Source organism: Homo sapiens, chromosome 8, assembly GCF_000001405.40.
Source record: "Homo sapiens chromosome 8, GRCh38.p14 Primary Assembly".
NCBI classification, from domain to species: Eukaryota; Metazoa; Chordata; class Mammalia; order Primates; family Hominidae; genus Homo; species Homo sapiens.
In genome coordinates, this window is record NC_000008.11 from 7598254 (window position 1) to 7617127 (window position 18874).

Genomic DNA, 18874 nt, shown 5'->3' on the forward strand with positions numbered 1-18874 from the left:
CAAGGTTTCTCCCCATGTGATAGTCTGAAATATGGCCTGGTGGGATGAGAAAGACCTGACCATCCCCCAGCCCGCCCCCCGTAAAGGGTCTGTGCTGAGGTGGATTAGTCAAAGAGGAAAGCCTCTTGCAGTTGAGAGAGAGGAAGGCCGCTGTTTCCTGCCTGCCCCTGGGAACTGAATGTCTCGGTATAAAACCCGATTGTACATTTGTTCAATTCTGAGATGGGAGAAAAACCGCCCTATGGTAAGAGGCGAGACATGTTTGCAGCAATGCTGCCTTGTTATTCTTTACTCCACTGAGATGTTTGGGTGGAGAGAAACATAAATCTGGCTTACGTACACATCCAGTCATAGTACCTTTCCTTGAAATTCCTTATGAAATAGATTCTATTTCTCACATGTTCGTTGCTGACCTTCTCCTTATTATCACCCTGCGCTCCTACTACATTCCTTTTTGCTAAAATAATAAAAATAATAGTCAATAAAAACTGAGGGAACTCAGAGTCCTGTGCCGGTGCAGGTCCTTGGTATGCTGAGCGGCGGTCCCCTAGGCCCACTGTTGTTTCTCCATACTTTGTCTCTGTATCTTATTTCTTTTCTCAGTCTCTCGTCCTACCCGACTGGAAATACCCACAGCTGTGGAGGAGGAGGCCACCCCTTCAAGTGAGTGCTGAGGGACGGTCGGGAGACTTGTTTGTTTCCTCATCCTCAGGACAAACAGGAGAGTGCGGTGGGCAGATGTGAGGAGACCAATGTGCAACTCTCTGCTCAGCAGACTGTGCAGTTTATGTTCTTGGTTGTGCTGGGGGTCTCAGAAATCTTATTCAAAATTTTGCTTTCCTCCCCCACTGGTTGTCCTTTTCATAAACATCTCACCCATGATAGCAGGGAATCAGTCCCTCTAACTATTCCCTAAGAACAACAAAGAGATTATGAAGGTGATGATGAGGATAAAGAGGATGACGACAGACACCATGGCATCATGAACCCTTACTGAGGGCTTCCTAAAGGCCAGGCTCTGAGCTCTGTGCTCTATGCAGCTTGTTTCATTTCATCTGCATAGTCTCCACGTTATTAGTGCACATTTCATGATGATTTTACAGACTAGAAAAAGCGCAACGGATTTTCATGCAGCTTGTACCAGATCACGAAGTCAAAAAGGGCGAAGTCCAATTTGAACCAGGCAGTCTAAGTCCAGACACATGGCATTTGGCAAGTCCTCTCCCTGCAACCAACCTGCCCTCTCAAATCCTCGTCACTCAGGCGGATGCCCCTACTCACTGTGCCCTTCCCTTTGTGGGTTCCTTGTTGACCACAGCTAGACCAGTGGGTGCCACAATCACTGTGTCATGTATAGAAAGGGCAGCTGAGATCACATCAAGGATTCCAGAAAGAATTTGCACAGGATCATTCGGGACGCATCTCTCCCTTGCCCCTGTTCCTGGCTTTCCTTACAGCTCTCAACTTCCTCAAAGGAGTCATCAATTCGGAGTTTGGCTTCCATTCCTATTGAGGAAGCTGGAAAGTGTTTCAAAAATGCTCCTCCGATGTGCCTGTGGTTAAGACCTCTGAGCTCTGCTTAAAACTCTTTGAAGCTGGGCGCGTTGGCTCAAGTGTGTAATCCCAGCCCTTTGGGAGGCTGAGGCAGGCGAATCACAAGGTCAGGATTTCGAGACCAGCCTGGCCAACATGGTGAAACCCTGTTTCTACTAAAAATACCAAAAAAACTCAAAAAAATTAGCCAGGCATGGTGGCATACGCCTGTCATCCCAGCTACTGGGGAGGCTGAGACAGGAGACTCCTTTGAAGCCGGGAGACAGAGGTTGCAGTGAATCGAGATCACGCCACTGCACTCCTGCCTGGGCAACAGAGCAAGACTCCGTCTCAAAAAAATAAATAAATAAAAATTACGAAAAAATGGCAAACTTTAGCCGTTAGCTCACGTACCACTTTGGAAGGGCATACCTTTAGTCACTTCACCCTTTAATCCCTTTGCTCAAGACTAAAGTTCTGAGAGGAAGACTAATCGGCTGAGTTGTGTCCATGTGGGCAGTGCAGGAAAGGATGCAGCGGGACGCTGCTCCAGGGATGTCTTTGGCTTCCATCATGGGGGAGCAGGCGCCTGGATTACCCACCCTAACAAATCTGGACAAAGGAAAACGAGGTTCTCCGAGGAAGGAGACATAGAGCCCAAGGAGCTAACCAAGAGACAAATGGTCATCCTGTCTTGTCATTTTCTTTTACACATGTGTGTACATTATCTTACACTTATCACTTTGTTTTCTTTCTCTCCTTTAATTGCACGCTGCTGCCAAAAGTTAAAATAAAATGAAAGTATTGAGATAGCTCAGTAACTGACTTTTGGTCAATTGCCTTTTCATATAGTGAACAGGTGCCCAAACGATTGTCTCTGTCACTGTGCAAATTTGCAAGCGTTTGCATGATCACTCCCACTCCCCCAATACAGAGCTGTGTTACAGCACAATTTAGTTCAGTGTTTTGCTCTCTGCAACAGGGAGGTTCTCATCCATTACACGTTGCAGTAAAAACAGGGGTACCATAAGCAACCAGCTCTTTCCTCAAAGAGGTGATGAAAGCAAAAGCCAAGTAGCTCCATGTATCCAACTTAAAAATATAAAAGTTACGCCCGTGGGCTGCAGTTGGAGCTATGGCGGCGGCAGCTGTCACTGGGCCTAGCCCGGGGTGTGGACCTGGGGACTCCCCAGAAGGGCCCGAGGGGGAGGCTCAAGGAGCGTCGGTGGAAGGCGGACAGGATGCTGAAGTTTTACAACGGCCTCTCGGAAGTGGAGGCGGTGGGACTCCCTGCGGGGACCGACCCCCTGGACCCCACTGATATGAACGGGGTACACTTCGACCCGGAAGTTTACCTAGACAAGCTTCCTAGAGAGTGCCCTCTGGCCCAGCTGATGGATAGTGAGACGGACATGGTGCAGCAGATCCGGGCTCTAGACAGCAACATGCAAACCCTGGTCTATGAGAACTACGATAAGTTCTCATAGACCCAGCCACAGAAATTGACACACAGCATAAAACTGTAAGAGGAATTGCAGGAGACCCAGAATTTCCCAAATAACCTTGTAAAAGAAGAACAAATTTGGAAGACTCACAAAAAATATATATATATATATATATATATATATATATATATATACATATTATATATATATACATATATATATAAAGTTGTGTTTTCATTCAGTTGTAAATGTTTAGTAATTTCTATTGTGATTTTTCATTTAACTCATGAAAGGATATTTTTAATTTTCCAAATATATGCTTGTGTTTAGCTATCTTCTTGCTGTTGACTTCTAATTTTGTGGCATTATGGTCAGGAAAATGTGGTCTGGACACTGTCAATCGTATAGTGGATTTTGTTGAGACTTCTTTATGGCCTAATATGTGGCCAGTTTTTTTTTTTTTTTTTTTTTTTTTGCAAATTTGCCACATGTGGTTAAAAGGAATGTGGATTTTTTTTTTAGGAGAGTTTTTATTTTGAAATAGATAAGGTTCTCAGTGTAATTGAAATCTAACTTCAGTTAACAATATGCTAGACCTCTCAAACCTCAGGATGTTAGTCAGTGTAACAATAGACTGCTGCTGAGACGAATAAACCCTGAACTCTCAGTGGGTTGACACCCATAGCATAGTCTGGTGCAGGGCAGGGGTTCTCCTTGGGGGCCCTTGTCCAACAGTGATTCAGAGATTCTGGAGGTTTCCATCTTTTAATTCTGCCATCTCAGAGTTTTTCACTTGTAGCCATATGGATAGGAAGAGAGGGAACATAGCTCACACTTTGATAACCTTGGCCCAGAAGTGATTTCTTACATTCCTATTGGTGGAAATGCAGTCACATGGTTCCAAACTAACTGCAAATGAGGCTGGGAAATGTAGTCTTTCTGCATGTCCAGGAAGAGGAATGGTGTGAACACAGTATTGTCTTTGACACACTAAGCATGTGCTGAAGAGTTCTTACTCTCATAGGAGGTTTGTCTGTCCTGTGTAACTTTCTCAGTTTTTGCTTAGATAGTTTCAGGCAATGCTGTTTGGTGCATTCAGCTTGATGATTATTATGTCCTCTTGGCAAAGTAGTCAAGATTCCCATCAGTTTGAATGAAAGTGTTTTACAGATAGGTCAGGAAATGTTAATACTTTAAAAGGCCCTTCTATTCCTCCACTCTACATATAAGAAAAACAGAGTCCTAGAGAGAGGAGGTCATGGGTCTCACTCATGAGTGGCAGAATTGAAACCAATGTGGCACTAACTTTGCCTTTCCCCCATCATGTTGTTCTCCTTCTATCTTCACTCTGCTGATTTCTTCACTTGCTCCATACAGACCTCCCAGTGCCAAGTGTATAAGTGTGTCCAGAATTGGTGGGTTCTTGGTCTCACTGACTTCAAGAACGAAGCTGTGGACCCTCCTGGTGAGTGTTACAGTTCTTAAAGGTGGCGTGTCTGGAGTTTGTTCCTTCTGATGTTCGGATGTGTTTGAAGTTTCTTCCTTCAGGTGGGGCTCGTGGTCTCGCTGGCTCAGGAGTGAAGCTGCAGATCTTCACGGTGAGTGTTACAGCTCTTACGGCTGCAGGTCTGGAGTTGTTCATTTCTCCCAGTGGGTTCATGGTCTTGCTGGCTTCAGGAGAGAAGCTGCAGACCTTCTCGGTGAGTGTTACAGCTCATAAAGTCAGTGTGGACCCAAAGAGTGAGCAGCAACAAGATTTATTGCAAAGAGCAAAAGAACAAAGCTTCCACAGTGTGGAAGGGGACCCCAGTGGGTTGCCACTGCTGGCTCGGGCAGCCTGCTTTTATTCTCTTACCTGGCCCCACCCACATCCTGCTGATTGGTCCATTTTACAGAGAGCCTGAGTGGTCTGTTTTGACAGGGCACTGATTGGTGCGTTTACAATCCCTGAGCTAGACACAAATGCTCCCCACGTCCCCACTAGATTAGCTAGATACAGAGTGTCCACACAAAGGTTCTCCAAGTCCCCACCCTAGTAGCTAGATACAGAGTGTCAATTGGTGCATTCATAAACCCTGAGCTAGATACAGGGTGCTGATTAGTGTGTTTACAAACCTTGAGCTAGATACAGAGTGCCAATTGGTGTATTTCCAATCCCTTACCTAGACATAAAGTTCTACAAGTCCCCACCAGACTCAGGAGCCCAGCTGGCTTCACCCAGTGGACCCAGCACAGGAGCTGCAGGTGGAGCTGCCTGCCAGTCCCTCTCCATGCACCCACACTCCTCAGCCCTTGGGTGGTCGATGGGACTGGGCGCCATGGAGCAGGGGGCGGTGCTCATCGGGGAGGCTTGGGCCGTACAGGAGCCCACAGAGGGGGGAGGCTAAGGAATGGCAGGCTGCAGGTCCCGAGCCCTGCCCCGCAGGGAGGCAGCTAAGGCCCGGTGAGAAGTCGAGCACAGCAGCTGCTGGCCCAGGTGCTAAGCCCCTCACAGCCCCGGCCGGCAAGGCCAGCCGGCAGCTCCTAGTGCAGGGCCACCAAGCCCACGCCCATCCAGAACTCCAGCCGGCAGGCAAGCAGCACACGTAGCCCCAGTTCCAGCTCATGCCTCTCCCTCCATGCCTCCCTGCAAGCTGAGGGAGCCAGCTCTGACCTCGGCCAGCCCAGAAAGGGGCTCCCACCATGCAGCCGTGGGCTGAAGGGCTCCTCAAGTGCTGCCAAAGTGGGAGCCCAGGCAGAGGAGGTGCCGAGAGTGAACGAGGGCTGTGAGGGCTGCCAACACGCTGTTACCTCTCATAAGGAGTGATTAATCTGAGCTTCTCCAGAAAGTCCATTCCTGGTAGGCACTGGGAATAAGAAATCTCAGAGTATAAAAAAACATCAAGTGGTAGCACTTTTGTGAGTGGCTCCCAAATTAGATCCTTTACCTTTTTTTCATGAAGCACAGTTGCCCAAAACACGCTTAGCCTGAGGTGAAGCACATATTAGAGAAAAGTTCTCTCTATAGCATTATGTATTACTCAAATGAGCATTAAAAAGAGGAGACGGGATATGCTCTCTCTAGCTATTATTACCTGCACTATAGAGTTGACATACACAAGCTCATTATTGCATTATGTTTTATTCAACAAAATAACTTTAATGTTGAAGCTTAAATTGAATTCGCTAAAACATCTTTGTCTCCAGCATAGTGTGCCTCAAGTGTCTCCTTGGTGCCTGAATTTTCTCCAGAATTATAGTGCTGAAACTATGGAAATGGTGAAATTATATGCAATCTGCAAAACAATGTGGCTATAACGTGGTAATTGGCCTTCCACATAATTAAAGGAACATTTCCTCATCAGAGCTGTTCCATCAGAGACCCAAAGGCTATCGTTGTACAAATCACCCACTTAGGAAAACCTTTATTCCCAGTAGCCTATAAAAATCTGCTTATGCAAACAGATTTGCTTATTCAGTAACATTAATGGCTTCTCATAATTAAAAAGTCATCAATGTGATTGACCTATAATCTGCTTCCTCTGTGACCAAGTGTCATTTTTATTTTGACAGTTAGGAGCCTTTTGACTCTTTCACAGCTGGCATGAAGGCACAGGGAGGGAAATCTCAAAAACCAACAACCTGTGTATTCCCAGCCTATTAATCAATAGAAAATCACTTCAACTGGATTAGGGTCTTGTACCTGGCAGAAAGGCTCTTATGGACATTGGAATTGGATTTTTACACTTGATATGACACCTCCTTGAGTCAGATCAGATTCGTGTTTGATAGACTCTTGCCGAAAAATTGCTCCAGGGTCTGTGCAGTAGCTAAAGCCTTTTTATTGTTGTTGTTTTAAAAGCAGCATTAAATGTTTTCATGAAGACCTTCCCAGCAGTTATTTTATTGGGAATATGGTCTTTAGCTCTGGTCCTGAATAACTCACACTGAGGAAACCTCTAACAAGTGTTTTATTGGAAGATGTCTGATGGATGGTTGGTTTTAATAACAAATCTCTTCCCTTTTTCTGTCCCCTGTGTTCTATGCTCCTTTCTTACACATTATTCTGGGAGGATTCACCTATTCCCAAAGTCCTTTCCTCTTTATTTCCATTCCAGAGCTCTCTGTATAACTCCAGGCTGATGAATCCAACTGCCCAGTTGTTATCTCCACTTGGCTGTCTGTCTTGCATTGACCTCATCTTACCTTTCCTCTCCTGATTTCCTCTTCTGCCAGGGCTCACCACGTCAGATTCACACCACCATCCACCCAGCTTCCAAATCACCTGGGCCTCCTCCTTCATTCCTCCCTCTTTCTCAGTCAAGTTAGTCTACTGTCTCCTCTCCATCCTCACTGCCACAGCCTTGGTCCAGCCAACCATCTTGTCTCACTTGGCGTATTGCAGCCTCCTACCTGGTCTACTCACCACCCACTCTCCTCCAGCCAGACTGCTCTTCTTCTAGCACAAAGTGGATCATTACTCCCCTGCATAAAAACATCTACTGTCTCCCTTTCTCTACAGGATAGACACGACAAAGAGCCTTTAAGATTTGCCTCCAACTTACCTCTATATTACTCACTTTTTACAATTATATGAACATCTCTCAGCTCCTCACCCTCTCACGTCTCGATTTTTACACATGCTCTTCCCTCTGCTGAGAATGATCTTCCACACCTCTCCTATCGACCTGGCTAGTTCCTACCATTTTCTAGTCTTCAACTGAGGAGTCCTGTGGTGGAGAAGGATTTCTCACCACCCGATATAGATTGCATGCCCACCCACCTCCGAGCTTTTTCTTTTTTCTTTCTTTTTTTTTTTTTTTGAAAGAGTCTCGCTCTGACCATGCAAGCTGGAATGCAGTGGTGCGATCTTGGCTCACTGCAATCTCCACCACCCGGGTTCAAGCAATTCTCCCACCTCAGCCTTCTGAGTATCTGGAATTACAGGTGCCCCCCACCACATCTGGCTAATTTTTTTGTATTTTTAGTAAAGATAGGATTTCACCATGTTGGCCAGGCTGTTTTCGAACTCCTGGCCTCAAGTGATCCACCCACCTTGGCCTCCCGAAGTGCTGGGAATACAGGCATGAACAACTGCACCTGGCCGATTGGGTGCCCCTTCTATGTGCTCCCATTGCCCCAGGCATACTGTCACCATAACTCTTACCATTCTGAGTTGAAAATGATTTTTTTTTTTGCTTTTTATTTCTCTCATTAAATGAAAGCTTATTGAAAAGAGGACAGTGGTTGTTCACTGTTGTACTCCTAACCTTTGACTCAGTGTCCTTAGGTTGGCTCTACAGCTGTGCACACATGTTCAGACATTGGAGCACATCTTGTCTAGCACCTCTTTTGTGGTGGCTTAGAGAAAAGTCAGTAGGTACTTCCCCAAGGATGAAACAGAAGCTTCACCTAAAGCAGTTCTTCAACTTCAGCCTGCATTAGAATCCTCTGAGACCTTGTTAAAAATACCATCTCCTGGAGCCCACTCTTCAAGAGTCGGTGAGTTGCTTCATCATCAAAATATACACAGAATTCAGGCAGTCTTCAGCCCCAGCCTGGTCTGAACCTCTGTGGACTCCCACCTGCAGAATGTCCCTGCTGGTCTCCTTGCTTCTGCTCTTACCTTCTTATTACCCATTCGAGTAGCCGGGGTGATCCTTTTTAAAAAATTTTTTAAATTTTTTTGTGATGAAGTCTCACTCTGTTGCCCAGGCTGGAGTGCAGTGGTGCTATCTCAGCTTGCTGCAGCTCTATCTCCTGGGCTCAAGCAATCCTCCCACCTCAGTCTCTTGGGTAACTGGGACCACAGACATACACCACCACACCCGGCTAATTTTTGTATTTTTTGTAAAGACACGGTCTTGCTGTGTTGCCCAGGCTAGTCTTGAACTTCTGTGTGCACCCACCTCAGCCTCCTGCATTTTTAGGAGGCTCCTCTTGTAGGGATTTTGATCCAGATGCCTGGGTGCCTCATGTCTCCTCCCATCTCTCTCTGTCTTTCTGTCTCTGTCTCTCTCTCTCTTTCTCTTTGCCTTATAGCTGCCCTGGGGTCTAGACTCTGCCTTAGGCATCCCTCTGGCTCTTGTTTGCTTTTATACTGAGGCTGCTTTAAATTGCACCTTGATCTGAAGCCTTGGGCTTCTGTTTCTATTCCTTGCTTTTGTTGGAAGGGCCATGCAGCTTCTTGACAAATTGCAAAGGTGCCCACGAGTTTCCAAGTCCCCAAGAACCAAACCAGATGACAAACAAGGATGCAGTCCACAGCTGGGGAGACAGATTTCATGTCCACACAGAGACTCCAAGATGCTGAACTGAAATCCACCTCGAAACCTGTTTTCTCTCTCATTTAAGTTCATTGTCACCTGGGGGCTTGCAGGGCAGAGCTGGTGACCATTCTCAGGGCAAAGATGCTTTGAAATGTCAACTGAGAATGGTGTGGTGGTTGACAGATGGCACGTCAGAGCATAGATTAACATGGAAAGAGAAATTCACCCCTTGGGGGGAGTGTGTGAGGCTGGCAGCCACACAGAGGGCTTTTCCTGTGAGCTCTTGCATAGATGCAAACAGCCAGGAGGTTTTGCTTTCTGATCCTAAGTGGAAGCATGTTCTTCCCTGCACATTGCCGCTCTGCAGCAAATGTTTATTCCTGTTGCATTGATTAAAAGTGCTTACCAGGCCGGGCGCGGTGGCTCACGCCTGTAATCCCAGCACTTTGGGAGGCCGAGGCAGGCAGATCACAAGGTCAGGAGATTGAGACCATCCTGGATAACACGGTGAAACCCCGTCTCTACTAAAAATACAAAAAATTAGCCGGGCATGGTGGCGGGCACCTGTAGTCCCAGCTACTTGGGAGGCTGAGGCAGGAGAATGGCATGAACCCAGGAGGCGGGGCTTGCAGTGAGCCGAGATTGTGCCACTGCACTCCAGCCTGGATGACAGAGCAAGACTCCGTCTCAAAAATACAAAGTGCTTACCGAAGTGGTTTGAGGGCAGCGGTGACACTGTGAGTTATGGCTCTGCCGGCAGCCAGTGGAGCCAGCCTCTCTGCACAGCTGTGCAAGGGTGTTTTGAAAAGTGGCTCAGCCGGCCAGGAGTGACTGGCTGTAAATATTGCTGCCAGAACATCTTGTAGCCTGATTGGGGCCGTGTTTGCAGAACCCCTAAACCACTACACTTGTTCAGGCTTAAAAATAAGCTTACTTTTTTTTGTTTGTTTTGTTTTGTTTTATGAGATGGAGTCTAATTCTGTCACCGGGTTGGAATGCAGTGGCATGATCTCGGCCCACTGCAACCTCTGCCTCCTGCGTTCAAGTGATTCTCCTGCCTCAGGCTCCCGAGTAGCTGGGACTATAGGCGTGTGCCATCATGGCCAGCTAATTTTTGAATTTTTAGTACAGACGGGGCTTCACCTTTTTGGTCAGGATGGTGCGATCTCTTGACCTCGTGATCTGCCCGCCTTGGCTTCCCAAAGTGCTAGGATTACAGGCGTGAGCCACCGTGCCTGGTCAAACATAAACTTACTTTCTTACCTCTTCTGCTGAACTCTATGTGCTTCTTTTCGCAACTTCTGCTGAACTCTATTTTGCTTCTTTTTCCTGGATAAGGCTCTTGTTTATCCAGAAGAACTTTTAGCAACAAAGTTACCCAATGCCTTTCCCTAGTCTCTCCTTGCAACTGACTCTCAGTGGTGGGGGGGGGTGGGTAGGAGGAAATCCTTGACAGAACCAATTTACATGACTGTTTGGAGGACTCTCACTAGCCCCAGGAGGTGTTTACATTTTTAAATTGGTTACTAGTGTCAGAATGTTTCATGAGTAAGAGCACAGCCTCTAAGTTGGATACCCTGAATTTAAGTCTCAACATGGCCATTTTGTATATAAGCAGAGGACGGATTTGGGGACCCAATGGATCTACCATGACATGAACTTGGACCAACATTCACCTGAACTCCAAAATGCCTATTCTGACTGGTAGACCCTAGTCTCGCCCTAGTGCCAGTTCAGAGCCTGTGTCCAGTGGTCTTGCACAGGTCCCATTAGTTCTTTTTCTCCTATTCAGTCATCCTGGTAAAGGCTGTGTATTCCCTTGGGGACAGGCTGGGAGAAAGATTGACAGTATAAATTTTTGGCAGTGGAGCAGAGTCCTTTCTGGAGGGGACCTGGCTTCCCATTCAGACAAGGGACTCCAGGTCTGTGAACTGGCTTATGTCTGGGAATTGACGGGGGACTGTGACTCTGTTTTTATGATTCAGATTAGACTTCTGCTCACCTGACCTAGAATTCTTCTTCAAACACAGATCAAGTAAAAATGTGGCAGGCTTCTTATCTATTTCAGTTCTAGGAAAGCCACGATCAGCCGGCACCATAGGTCTCTGCGAGTCAGGCTATTCTGGTTGCAGCTTTGACTCTGCTGTCTTTTATGGTAACTGCATCCACCTTGCCTTTGGGGATTGAGTGCTCTGATCACTTGACCCCAGCCCCTGTACTGTGCGTATGTCACTTACCCTCTTTATACCTCAGTCTCCTCCTCTATAAAATGGGCATCCTCATTGCACCCACCCCCAGGGCTGCTGTGAGGTATAGATGGATTAGCATATGGAAGGTAATAGAAGAGGGTCTCAAAGCCCATGTGTCGTTATCAGAATTATTTCGTGACAGGGGAGAGCTGGAGGAGAGAGGAAGGTGCTGAGCAGACCCACGTGCTCTCCCACCAGTGTTTCCTGAGCACCCACTATGTGCTGCCCACTGTGAGAGCTGTTAGGGTTGAAATAGGGAGAACAGCAGGATAGGGGTTGCCATCAGGAGCTTAGTGGGGAGACCGTTGTGCAACATGGTTACAGTGCTTGGGGGTGGGGAAGCCCAGGGACTACAGGGGCCTAGGATCCAGGGCAGAATCATGGAAAGGACACAGCCGCCCCAGCCTCCCCTGCCTCCCCTGCCTCCCTGACCTCCTCTGTTCCCTGGCCTCTCCTGCCTTCCTGGCTTCCCCTTCCACCCCGGCCTCCCCAGTCTCCCCTGTCTTTCCTGCTTTTGAGGTGGGCCAGGAGCTGCTGGTGCTCACTTAGCCTGTCCTGGACTCTGGGTGTAGCACTTCGGTGTCCAGAAAATACCCCCGGGTTCAGCTTATCACACAGCCAAGAAAGGAGCTCCACACTGACACTAAGGGTGCATCCTGGGCTCATTCATCAGGGCATGCCTCCAAAATATTTCTCCACGTCTCCTCCCTTTGCCCACCTGCATTGTCTCTGTGCCTCAGCCCCAGCTGGGGGCCTGCAAGGATCCTCTATCTCCTCTGCCCCTGCACGGCTGGGTCCCAGGCAATCTGTCTGCCCACCACACCTCTCTCCTGTTGCCCACCACGCTCCAGCCCCACAGTCCTCTTTCTGCTTCTTTCCCAGCCTCTGGGCTTTTGCACACGCTGTTCCTTCTGCCTGAACACCCTCCACTGGGCTGAGAACAACTCTCTGAGACCTCTCTCAGCTGTTGCTTCCTTTGGAAAAGCCGCTGCTGCTGTCCCTCTCCCAGCTCCAAGACCTGCTGAGCCTCCTGTCTTTTTCAGTTCCCATGCCCCCAGCACTTCTCCTTGGCCTCCTTTGGCCCAACTGACAATGTCCATTCTCAATGCCTTCCCACCCAGCGCTGAGCCCCACTTGGTGAAGGCAATGCCTGTCATGTTCACCACAATATCCCCTCCCCCATCACCACGACTGGTCCACAGTGATGCTCAAAAAAGATCTGTTGGTAGGCAATGGGAAGGTGCATTCATGTCATCCTGCAGGCGGAATTCTCCACGAGTTTTGAGCAGCCTCGGGTTTCCCACCACCTCCAAATCATGGAAGACACACGGTAAGAGCAAAGACAAGGTGGCTGTGGCCGATGTCCACCCTCTCGTGGCGTCCCTTCTCTTCTCTCCTCCTTGGGCAGGGAGACCATCGGGGTGCAACCTGGCTGGGGCGGGGAGGTGGTGCAGGGCATTGCCAGAGCGGGCCTGTCCATGGGCAAGGGACAGCGACCTCCTGGGCCAGGACATGTGACAGCTGCGCAGGCCTGGGCCCGGCGTGGCAGAGGTGCGCGAGAGCGGCCAGAAGAGGGCGCCAGAGAGCCAGGCGCGGCCCGCGGAGGAGCCCGGGCCGGCCCCGATACCCAGCTCCGCGCCGCGCGGACCCACCGAGCCCGTGCTCAGACGCCCCAGCTCCGCCGAGAAGCCGCTTGAGCCGGGTCCTTCTTCTTCCCCAAGTTCAGGCAGAGCCCGCGGAGCCATGGCCAGCCCTTCCAGCAGCTCCGAAGCCACTGGCAAGCCCCGAGGCAGGGATGGCAGTCCCAGGATGGGGGAGGAGGACGTCCCTCCCGAAGAGAAGAGGCTGGGGCTGTAGCTGGAGGGGGGAAGCGCACAGCCCGAGGACTGCGAGGACGGGGAGGACCCGCCGCTGCCAGGCAGGAAGGAGACCGGCACCCAGACAGGTGGCGACGGCAAAGGAGTAAGTGATGCGGGCGCGGGGGTCCGGGAGTGCCGGGGGCTCGGGGGTGCCGGGGACGCGACGAAGGGGCGTCGGGAGGCTCCGTGGCCGTCCCCGGGTTGAAGTTGGGAGTGCAGCCTTCATTCTGAACCCATTTAGGCAGCATGGGCAGCCCTCCTCGCCATGGGCAGGATCAGAGCCCCCCCGCCCAGTCTTGGGGTTGCTCCTGGATGCTGTCTGGGAGGCTTGCTCATGGTGACATCCTCATCTCCCCGTCCACGTTACCGCATTCAGAGCTTGGGTCACCTGGACACTGAACTCAGGTGAATTTTCTCTGAGATCCCGGGAGAAGGAGGACAGTTCTTTGGAAGGTTTTCCAGGGCCGATCACGGAAAGGATGAGAAGGGAGAGGTCCTGGTCGGGGACACAATTATGGTGTCAGTGTAACGCCGGGAAACTTTATTGCATGAAGTCCCTCTCACTCCCTCTACCTCCCTCTTTTACGTGGACTCTGCCAAAGACCAGGATACCAGAATGCGGTGGAGAGGCCAAGTGTAGTGAGACCTTGGGAATGCGATTCTGGAGCCAGGCGGCTGGGGTTTGCATCCTGGTTCTGCCCCTCCTTAGCTGGCTGACATGGCACAAGCCACTTACCCTGTCTGAGCCTTACTGTCTTCAGTGGCAAATGGATCTGTCAACAGGCTCCATTGCCTGGGGTTGTTGCTGCTGAGATTAAGGGAAGCTCGTCCATAGAAGCACTTAGCGTTGTGCCTGGCACATAGTGTATGGTGGATAAGTGGGACTTAAGACTAAAACTCATGCCCTGATGTGTTTTTGCAGTGATGTTTTGTTCTGGAGTACGTCACAAGAGACAAGGTTCTTGGCTGGGCATGGTGGCTGAAGCCAATAATCCCAGCACTTTGAGAGGCCGAAGGGGGAGGATCGCTTGAGCCCAGGAGTTTAAGACCAGCCTGAGCAACATGGTGAAGCCTCATATCTCCCAAAAAAAAAAAAAAAAAAAAAAGGCAGTTATGGTGGTGAGTGCCTGCAGTCTCAAGTACTTGGGAGGCTGAGGTGGGAGGATTGCTAGAGCCTAGAAGGTCAGGCTGCAGTGAGCTGTGATCATGCCACTGCACTCCAGCCTGGGTGACAAAGTGAGACCGTTTCAAGGAAAAGAGAGAGAGACAGACCCACAAAAGTCTTAAGCCAGAATCTCCATGTTAAAATGCTTTCTGGAGGCTAAAAGGATGATATGTTGATAATGAAATGTTTAAAAGGCAGAAACCCCACTGAATTGTTTGGTCCACAGAGGGAAATGGGAATCGCATGACCTGAAGGATGATGGAGGAACTGAACAGAAACCATCCTTGTTTCCTGAATCTGAACATGGCACGCTCTTTTCACGGTGCCTGTATCTGCTCAGTCCGGCAGCCCCTTGAAAAGAGGGAATCTTGATTTTCAAACTTAAAATTTGGCCCAAAGCTCACTGCTGCCCACAATGCCCGCCAGACACATTCCTCTTCCCTTTTAGTTCCTATGGGAATACTCTCTTTGAAGAACCCATGAAGCAGTGTCAGGCTGGTACGAGGATCAGCAGTGATTTCTTTGAGGAGGAGAGCCCGTTTCTTCACTCACAGGCCATGTCTGAGTGGATCAAGAAGAACAGAGTGCCCTTTTATGAGATTTTGTCTGCGTAGACCACTAGCTTGGTAAAAATGTCAAAACCATCCTCGTTCTTTAATAACAGATTATTTTGGACTTTTCTCTGCAAGAAGCAGCATGGGCATTCAGATGCTTTTAAGGATAAAATGTTCTTTCTCATCACCAGGACTGGTGCTCTGGATGGCTGAGGTTTTAATGTGACTGGATGTCCCTTGGAGTGGCTCCCAGGCTGTGCTCTTGTGGTTGGGTGGCAAGCGGTTGCTTTATTCGGTGGTGGCTAGAGGATGTTTTAGCAGATTAATCGGGACCCCAGGAGCCCCTGAGTGTCAAGTCCTGCTGCAGGGCATGTGTTTATGGTGGGGAGGTGGGGGAGGGTGGAGGGGGGGGCATTGATTTCCTCCCAATATCAGAAGTTTCACAGGCTTCTTGTTTATCCACAAACACCCACCCCATTGAGAAGGCCTAGAAAATCTGCCCCTCCTCAAGCCTTTATTGACCGCTTGTGAATGATCCCAGTGTGTGTCTGACCCACAGCTCCTCCTGGAGGGAGAGAAAAGTCTCTCCTAGGTATTTGGTTGTCCACCTCAACCACTTGCTGAGTCTTCCGCAAGACCAGGCACCTCGGCAGAGATTTCTGGGTTGTCAGGCAGAACCGAGCATTCAAGGGTGATAACTCACTGGAGTCCCTGAAATCCCTGATGGACGCACCAGGTAAAAGCATCCAGGGTTGAAACCAGATCAGGAAGGTTATTGTCAGCCTGGGGCTCCTGTAGAGGTGCATCCACGTTGCAGGGATTTTCCTTCTTGCTGAGGAGAAACCTGGGTTTCTCAGCTTTGGCACAGTCAGAATATTTGTGGTGAGACCATTCGTGGTGCTGGTGGTGGGGCTGTCCTGTGTATTGAAGGATGGTTAGCAGCATCTGTGGTCTCCATCCTCTAGGTGCCATTCTACCCTCCCTGCTATGGCTACCCCAGACGTCTCCAGATGGTTTCAAATAATGTGGGGCAAGGGAGCGGTACGTGAGCAAAACCACCCCAGTTGAGAGCCATTGGTCCACACTTGTATAAATGTTTGAGGGTGAGAGTGTCGAGCTTGGGTCCCTGCTGTACCCTTTATGAGCAATGCGGTCTTGGAAAATTAATACTACTCCAGGGGCCTCAGTTTTCTCATCTATAAAATGGAGATAAATGAGATACACTTTCATAGGAAGGTTATATGGGATTCACCGAGATAATAAGACAGTACATGGAAAATGCTGCGCATAGCATTTATTTATTTTAATTTTTTTTTAAGACAGAGTCTTACTCTGTTGCCCAGGTTGGAGTGCAGTGGCATGATCTCCGCTCACTGCAATCTCCACCTCCTGGGTTCAAGTGATTCTCCTGCCTCAGGCTACCGAGTAACTGGGACTACAGGCGCGCGCCATCATGCCCATCTAATTTTTGAATTTTTAGTAGAGACGGGGCTTCACCATGTTGGCCAGGATAGTCCGATCTCTTGACCTCGTGATCTGCCCGCCTCGGCCTTCTCAAGTGCTGGGATTACAGGCGTGAGCCACCGTGCCTGGCCAAACATAAACTTACTTTCTTACCTCTTCTGCTGAACTCTATTTGCTTCTTTTCCCATACGTCTTTATCCAGAAGAGCTTTTAGCAACAAAGTTACCCAATGCCCTTCCCTAGTCTCTCCTTACAACTGGCTCTCAGCAGGGGGTGGGAGGAAATTCTTGACAGAACCAATTTACATGACTGTTTTGGGGACCCATTCTAGTCCCAGGAGGTGTTTACACTTTTAAATTGGTTACTAGTGTCAGAATGTTTCATGAGTAAGAGCCCAGGCTCTATGTCGGATGCCCTGAATTTGAATCTCAGCATTGCCGCTTTGTATATAACCAGAGGATGGATTTGGGGACCCAATGGACCTACCGTGACATGAACTTGCACCAACATTCACCTGACCTCCAAAATGCCTATTCTGACTGGTAGAACCTAGTCTCGCCCTAGTGCCAGTTCAGAGCCTGTGTCCAGTGATCCTGCACAGGTCTCATTAGTTCCTTTTCTCCTGTTCAGTCATCCTGGCGAAAGGCTGTGTATTCCCTTGGGGGCAGGTTGGGAGAAAGACTGACAGTATAAATTTTTGGCAGTGGAGCAGAGTCCTTTCTGGAGGGGACCTGGCTTCTCATTCAGACAAGGGACTCCAGGTCTGTGAACTGGCTTATGTCTGGAAATTGACTGGGGACTGTGACTCTGTTTTTATGATTCAGATTAGACTTCTGCTCACTTGACCTAGAGCACTTCTGCAAACACAGATCAAGTGAAATGTGGCAGGCTTCTTATCTATTTCACTTCTAGGAAAGCCACGATCAGCAGGCACCATAGGTCGCTGGGAGTCAGGCTATTCTGGTTGCAGCTTTGACTCTGCTGTCTTTTATGATAACTGCATCTACCTTGCCTTTGGGGATTGAGTGCTCTGATCACTTGGCCCCAGCCCCTGTAGTGTGCGTATGTCACTTACCCTCTTTATACCTCAGTCTCCTCCTCTATAAAATGGGCATCCTCATTGCACCCTCCCCCAGGGCTGCTGTGAGGTATAGATGCATTAGCATATGGAAAGTAATAGAAGAGGGTCTCAAAGTCCATGTGTCGTTATCAGAATTATTTCATGATGGGGAGAGCTGGAGGAGAGAGGAAGGTGCTGAGCAGACCCACGTGCTCTCCCACCAGTGTTTCCTGAGCACCTACTATGTGCTGCCCACTGTGAGAGCTGTTAGGGTTGAAATAGGGAGCACAGCAGGGTAGGGGCTGCCATCAGGAGCTTAGTGGGGAGACCATTGTGCAACCTGGTTCCAGCGCTTGGGGTGGGGAAGCTCAGGGAGTTCAGGGGCCTAGGATCCAGGGCAGAATCATGGAAAGGACATAACCTCCCCAGCCTCTCCTGCCTCCATTGCCTCCCTGGCCTCCTCTGCTTCCCTGGCCTCTCCTACCTTCCTGGCTTCCCCTTCCACCCCGGCCTCCCCAGTCTCCCCTGTCTCTCCTGCTTTTGAGGTGGGCCAGGAGCTGCTAGTGCTCACTTAGCCTGTCCTGGGCTCTTGGTGTAGCACCTCAATGTCCAGAAAATACCCCCGAGTTCAACTCATCACACAGTCAAGGAAGGAGCTCCACACTGACACTAAGGGTGCATCCTGGGCTCATTCATCAGGGCATGCCTCCAAAATATTTCTCCACGTCTCCTCCCTTTGCCCACCTGCATTGTCTCTGTGCCTGAGCCCCGGCTGGGGGCCTGCAAGGATCCCCTATCTCCTCTGCCCCTGCACAGCTGGGTCCCAGTCAATCTGTCTGCCCACCACACCTTCCTCCCCTTGCCCACCATGCTCCAGCCCCACAGTCCTCTTTCTGCTTCTTTCCCAGCCTCTGGGCTTTTGCACACGCTGTTCCCTCTGCCTGAACACCCTCCACTGGGCTGAGAACAACTCTCCGAGACCTCTCTCAGCTGTTGCTTCCTTTGGAACAGCCGCTGCTGCTGTCACTTTCCCAGCTCCAAGACCTGCTGAGCCTCCTGTCTTTTTCAGTTCCCATGCCCCCAGCACTTCTCCTTGGCCTCCTTTGGCCCAATTGACAATGTCCATTCTCAATGCCTTCCCACCCAGCGCTGAGCCCCACTTGGTGAAGGCAATGCCTGTCATGTTCTCCACAATATCCCCTCCCCCATCACCACACCTGGTCCACAGTGATGCTCAAAAAAGGTCTGTTGGTAGGCAATGGGAAGGTGCATTCATGTCATCCTGCAGGCGGAATTC

The 18874-nt window shown here is 49.5% G+C and overlaps 1 long non-coding RNA gene and 2 pseudogenes across 5 annotated transcripts, besides 1 other annotated feature; all 3 read left to right on the forward strand.

Annotated features, from left to right (window-relative positions):
* On the forward strand, nucleotides 2751-3014 carry VPS51P15 (VPS51 pseudogene 15; annotated as a pseudogene).
* Nucleotides 9774-10274: an enhancer, noted in NCBI's record as "H3K4me1 hESC enhancer chr8:7465549-7466049 (GRCh37/hg19 assembly coordinates)". NCBI's record gives its function as "activates a minimal SCP1, AML or CMV promoter by ChIP-STARR-seq in primed H9 embryonic stem cells {active_cell/tissue: H9 hESC(primed)}" and the evidence as "EXISTENCE:reporter gene assay evidence [ECO:0000049][PMID:30033119]".
* On the forward strand, nucleotides 12569-15425 carry LOC107986910 (uncharacterized). Of its 5 annotated transcripts, XR_001745778.1 has the most exons (5): nucleotides 12569-12805; nucleotides 13197-13437; nucleotides 13576-13739; nucleotides 14948-15125; nucleotides 15245-15425. It is a non-coding gene; the product is annotated as an uncharacterized LOC107986910 (long non-coding RNA). The 5 variants fall into 5 exon arrangements; XR_002956677.1 differs by lacking the exon at nucleotides 15245-15425 and having other exon boundaries at nucleotides 14948-15238; XR_005646964.2 differs by lacking the exons at nucleotides 13576-13739; nucleotides 15245-15425 and having other exon boundaries at nucleotides 14948-15238.
* A 45-nt stretch (nucleotides 15426-15470) lies between these two features.
* Nucleotides 15471-18874, forward strand: part of LOC124901865 (translation initiation factor IF-2-like) — a 451468-nt pseudogene continuing 448064 nt past the window's right edge.